The 6,253-nt window shown below is 34.0% G+C and overlaps 1 protein-coding gene across 1 annotated transcript; it reads left to right on the plus strand.

The window, feature by feature from the left end:
• On the plus strand, positions 1 to 6,253 carry DEFB131A (defensin beta 131A). The gene is made up of 2 exons (NM_001040448.3): positions 1 to 178; positions 5,947 to 6,253. The coding sequence occupies exons 1-2, from the start codon at positions 121 to 123 to the stop codon at positions 6,099 to 6,101; spliced, it is 213 nt and encodes a 70-aa protein (NP_001035538.2). The 5' UTR covers positions 1 to 120; the 3' UTR covers positions 6,102 to 6,253.

The following is a 6,253-nucleotide window of genomic DNA, read 5'->3' on the forward strand; positions in this document are numbered from 1 at the left end:
CTTGCTCCTGAAAGGTTCAATAATCACTCAACAACTCACCTCTTCAGAGAACTGAATGTACACAGAAGTCCTCTTCATCTCAGCTACTGATTCTCTCTAACCTGCTTTACCTATTCAACCATGAGGGTCTTGTTTTTTGTCTTTGGAGTCCTTTCCTTGATGTTCACAGTTCCTCCAGGTAAGACAGAAACTTTTTTATTCCAAAGTTCTAAAAATATAAGTAAAAGAAAATGCAAGGTCTTTCAAGAGTCTGAAAATAAAATAGGCATGGGCAGATTTTACTGTACCATGAAGGCTGCTCAGAGGATTGAAGAGTTGATACTAAAGAAATAAATAAGGTGGTTCACTGCAGTGATTTAACCTATGATAAACTCACTTGAGGCCGGGCACAGTGGCTCATGTCTATAATCCCAGCACTTGGGGAGTTTGAGGTGGGTGAGCACAGGAGTTCTAGACCGACCTGGTGGGGGCAACAGGGTGAAACCCCATCTCTCCAAAAAAAAAAAAAAAATACAAAAAATTAATCAGGTATAGTGGCGCGTGTCTGTGGTTCTGGCTACTCAGGAAGCTTAGGCAGGATCGCTCGAGCCTGAGATGTCAAGGCTGCATTCAGCTTAGGTCATGCCACTGCACACCAGCCTGGGCAACAGAGTGAGACCCTGTCTCAAAAAATAATAATAATAAAAAATAAACTTACTTGAGAGTTATGTTTGATCAAAAGATGGTGAGAGGATACACACAGAACACAGGAAATTTAAAGAATTGGAAAAAGGAAAAGTGAATGATGACTAGAAGAAGGGCTAGAGGTGAAGAGGTGGATACTCCACCATAATCCTTGGTTCACAGGATAAATTCACCACTGATCCAGGCAAGGACCTAGCCTCTGTGTTCCTTTAAAGTTGAATAAAACTCATATGATATCATTTAATGTATATGGAAATTACTTTTTGTATGGTGAGAGTTAAGATTCCACCTTAATTTTTAACCACATAACTAGCCAATTATATATAAGCATATTAATTAAATAATCAATACGACTTTCCCACATTAATTTTAAAATTCATCAATACCCCATAATAAAAACATATTAAACTGCGGTTCATACCTGAGATTTAGATTACTGGTTGACTTATTGATCATTTCTGAAGCACATTTTAATACTTAACAATTCAAGATTCCCTCATTTATATAATACTTCATGATTCAAGATTCCCTTATTTATATAATTATAAATAATTATGCCTTTCCTCCATGAATGTTAGTGGGTTTTTTATATTTTTATGAGATACAATTTACCATAAAATTCATTGCCTTAAAGTGTTCTATTCAGTGGTTATCAGTGTATTCTTAAAATTGTGCACCCCTCACCATTATCTAATTCCAGAATATGTTTATAACCGCAAGAAGAAATCTCTCCTCCTCCCAGTCCCTAGCAACCACTGATCTAATTTTTGTCTCTATGTATATTCCTATTCTGGACATTTACTATGAACAGAATAAGAAATATGTGATCCTTCATGTCTGCCTTCTTTTATTTAGCATAATGTTTTCAAGATTCATCCATGTTGTGGCATAGATTCGTACTTCATTCCTTCATTCAGTGGTCATCAGTATATCCCACTCTAAGAATCCACTGATACTCACTAAATGGAACACTCTAAAGGAATGAATTTTATAGTAAATTCTATCTCAATAAAAATATAAAACACCAACATTCATGGAGGAAAAGTATAATTCTGTATAATTATATAAATGATAGAATCTTGAAATAAATTTTAAAATGTGCTCGGAGGTAATATGAGCCTCAGAAAAGATAAATAAGTCAATTGATAATCTAAATCTCAGGTATAAACCACAGTTTAATATGATTTATTATAAAGTATTGGTGGATTTTAAAATGAATTTGGGAAAGTTAGATTGATTATTGGTGTTGGTAAAAAAAAATTCTTCGTATGGATTATTTAGCATATGGTTGTTTATAACAGACTAATGATCCATTGTATTTCTTTTATATCAGTTGTAATGTCTCCTGTTTTATTTCCGATTTTATTTATTTGGCATTCTCTCTTTTGTTCTTGGTTAGTCTAGCTAGCAGTTTATAAAGTCTGTTTATCTCTTCCAAAAGTCAACTTTTTGTTTCATTAATTCTTTGCATTTTTTAAATCTTGAATTCACTTAGTCCTGCTCTGATTTTTATTATTTCTTTCCTTCTCCTAAGTTTGGATTTCATTTTTTCTTGTTTTTCTTGTTCCTTGAGGTGCATAGTAGCTTGTTTATAATATTACCATGTTCTTGCAGTAGGCATTTATTGCTATAAAATTCTCTCTTAGCACTGTCTTTGTTGTATTCCATAGGTTTTGGTATGTTGTGTTTCCATTTGCATATATTTCAAGAACATTTGTTATTTTCTTCTTTGTTTTTTCATTGACTCAATGGTTGTTCAGAAGCATGTTGTTTAATTTCCATGTTATCTGTATCGTTTCCAAAGTTCTTCCTAGTATTCATTTCTAGTTCTATTCTATTTTTGTCTAGAATATACTTGATATAATGTTGATTTTTCAAAATTTGTTGAAACTTGTTTTGTGTCTTAACATATGGTCCAGCCTGGAGAATGTTCTATGTGATGAGGAGAAGAATGTGTACTCCACAGCTATTGGATGAAGTGTTCTGTAAATGTCTGTTAAGTCTATTTGGTCTGCGGTACAGATTAAATTCAATGATTATTTGTTAGCTTTCTACCTAGATGATCTGTTCAATGCTGAAAGTGGGATATTGAAGCCCTCAGTTATCATGATGTTGAGGTGTATCTCTCTCTTTAGCTCTAATGACATTTTTAATATATCTAAGCATTCCACTACTTGGTACATATATATACATATTTGGAATTTTTATATCCTCTTGCTGAATTGGCCCTTTTATCATTATATGATGACCTTCTTTGTCTCTTTTTATGTTTTTTCACTTAAAGTCAATTTTGTCCAATATAAATATAGATGTATTAGGCCATTCTTGCATTGCTATAGGGTTATTATAATAAAGTACCACAGAATGGGTGCCTTAAATAACAAAAGTTCATTTTCTCACAGTTCTGGAAGTTATAATTCTAAGATCAAGATGTCAGCACATTTGGTTTCTCCTGAGGCCTGTCTTGGCTTGCAGCTGCTTGCCTTCTTGCCATGTCCTCTTATGGCATTTTTTCTGTGCACATGCATTCCTGGTGTCTCTTCCTCTTCTAACAAGGACATCAGCCATATTGCATGAGGGCCATACCCTGGGAGTCTCATTTTAGCTTTATCAGTCCTTAAAAAAAAAAAAAAAAACTTATCTTCAAATATGATTACATTCTGAGATACTAAAGATTGGGACTTCAACATACAAATTTTGGAGGAACACTTGTTAGCCCATAACGATGAATTCCTCAGTAGACTGATGTGATCAAGGAAAGAATCAGTGAGCTTAAAGAAGTTTAAATAGCAACTTCCAAAACTTAAAAGCAAAGAAAAAAGAATTAAAAAGAACAGAATATTTAATAAGTGTAGGCCAATTACAAAAGGAACAATATATGTGTAATGAAATATCAGGAGGAGGGGAAAGAAAGGAACAGAAGAAATATTTGAAGAAATTCTGACTGAGATTTTCCCGAAATTGAAAATAAGCAAAATGTACATATCTAGGAAGCTGAGAGAATAACACGCAAGATAAATACAAAAAATTTAAACATAGGCATATTATATTGAAACTGCCAAAAATCAAAGACAAAAAAAAAAAAATCTTAAAAGAAGCCAGGAGGGAAAAAATCTTTATCTATGGACAACCAAGGATAAGAATTACATCAGACTTCTCTTAAACCACATAAGCAAAAAGAGAGGAAAGTGAAATATTTAAAATGTTATAAAAGAAAAAAAAAAGAACACTATCTTAAAACTCTCTACTTAGTAAAATTATCTCTTTTTTTTAGACAGTCTCACTTTGTCACCCAGGCTGGAGTGCAGTGGCAGTGACCTTGGCTCACTGCAGCCTCTGCCTCCTGGGTCCAAGCAATCTCGTGCCTCAGCCAGCCACCACCATGCCTGGCTAATTTTGTATTTTTAGTAGAGACTGGATTCCGCTAGGTTAGCCAGGCTGGTCTCGAACTCCTGACCTCAGGTGATCCGCCCGCCTTGGCCTCCCAAAGTACCAGGATTAAAGGTGCAGGCCACCGCACCCAGCCTACCCTTTAAATTAAGGTAAAAATACATAATTTTCTTAGGTAAACAAAAATAGAGTTTGTCACCAGTAGTCCTACCTTACAATAAAAGTAAAAAGAAATTCTTCGCTCATACTCAATGGTGAAAAACTAAAAGCTTTTCTTCCAAGATCAGGAACAAGGCAAATGTGCCCCTTCTTGCCACATTTATTTAACATGATACTAAAAGTTCTAGCAAGAACAATTAGGCAAGAAAAGGAAATAAATGGCATCCAAACAGTTGGGGGGTGGGAATGAGTAAAATCATCTATTTCCAAATGACATAATTTTTTTGTAAAAAACTCTAAACTTCACTCTCCCAAAATTATTACAACTAATAACAAATTCAGTAAAGTTGCAGGATAGAAAATCAACATACGAATATCAGTTGTGTTTCTATAGCACTAACAACAAGCACTGGAAAGCAAGTAAAGAAAATCCCATTCATAATAGCAAGAAAAAGATAAGACACTTAAGAATAAACTTAACAAAAAGATGAAAGACTGGTACATTAAAAATTGCAGACATTCATGAAAGAAATTAAAGAAGACACAAATCAGTGGAAAGATATCCTATGTTCATGAATTGGAAGACATGATAATATTAAAATATCCATACTATTCAAAGCAATTTATAGATTATATACAATCCCTATCAAAATCCTAATGGCACTCTTGACAGAAATAGGAAAAACAATCTTAAACAGACATATAGGCCACTGGAAGAGAATAGAGGACCCAGAAATCAACCGACACTTACACAGTCCACTGGCCTTCAACAAACATGCGAAGAATATATAATGGGGAAAAGACGGTTTCTTCAATACTTCGTACTGAGAAAACTGAATATTCACATGCAAAAGAATAAAACTGGGCCTGTATCTTACACTACACACAAAAAGCAACTCAAAATGAACTACACATTTAAACATAATTACCTGAAACTGTAAAACTTATAGAAGAAAACATAAGGAGAACCTTTCATGATGTTGGTCATGGCAATTATTTTAACTTATAAATTGTAACAAAAGGATTTGGGAAGGACTGGTAGGTTTAAAGGGAATATTTATGGGAGATTATGGGTTATAGGCTCCTGTGCATATCTCAGTAACTTTCTCAATAAAGGACACATGGCCTTGAGCCCGAATACGCTGGGAAGCTGGAACTAAGACTCAACTCCTTCTGACCCTTCTCTCATTTAAGGATTCTTTTTTCTCATTTCACCAAAAACAGAGAAGCAACCAAAGACAGCTTTTCCACTTTCCCACCACCATATCTCTTCATATAGTTTTATATTTATCCATAATCTACCTTCTCTTCACTCTCTGATTCAAGGCCAACCCCTCTACTTACACTAGATTACATCCCCAATGACTTTCTCAAGAATTTAACTCCAGAAGTTAAACATTATTTCCTGCATTATGAATCTCTACACCACCCCCAAGCTGGATAATTCATTTTAGGTAGAAATATGTGGTAATAGTTCTCATTTAAAATTCTGTGCATTTCCAGCTACTGCCTCATTTATCTACTCTCTTTATAGAAGAAATCATCGCTTGTCTTTATTCAGCATCTCCACGTTTTCTCTTGCATTTTTTGCTGTTGATTTTGTTTTTCTGGGAAAGTTCTGTAATGTTTTTAATTTATTATAAAACATTTCAGACATTTAACAATAAAAAGTAAGTAATATTGTGTCATATAATTTGTCTTCTCTTTTTAAAGCCAGAAGCTTCATTTCTAATGATGAATGTCCTTCAGAATATTATCATTGCAGACTGAAGTGCAATGCTGATGAACATGCAATTAGATACTGTGCTGACTTCAGCATCTGCTGCAAACTGAAGATCATTGAAATTGACGGACAAAAGAAGTGGTGAAAATTCTAACTCCATCTTCTTCAGACTCCGGGACAAAAAACATGTCTTAAACTCTCTTATCTATGAATAATTAACATGATAGATGAAAATTATTATAATTGCATGTTTAGATGGTCAGGTGAAAATGAATATAAATTTTATAAATGCTTCCA

This window comes from Homo sapiens, chromosome 4 (genome assembly GCF_000001405.40).
Source record: "Homo sapiens chromosome 4, GRCh38.p14 Primary Assembly".
In the NCBI taxonomy this organism is placed as follows: Eukaryota; Metazoa; Chordata; class Mammalia; order Primates; family Hominidae; genus Homo; species Homo sapiens.

What these genes read in the sequence shown, in the direction of transcription:
- DEFB131A (NM_001040448.3), top strand. Translation starts at nt 121, where the DNA reads ATGAGGGTCTTGTTTTTTGTCTTTGGAGTCCTTTCCTTGATGTTCACA. An exon ending in GATGTTCACAGTTCCTCCAG is followed by an intron (nt 179 to 5,946) that starts GTAAGACAGAAA and finishes CTCTTTTTAAAG; the next exon opens with CCAGAAGCTTCATTTCTAAT.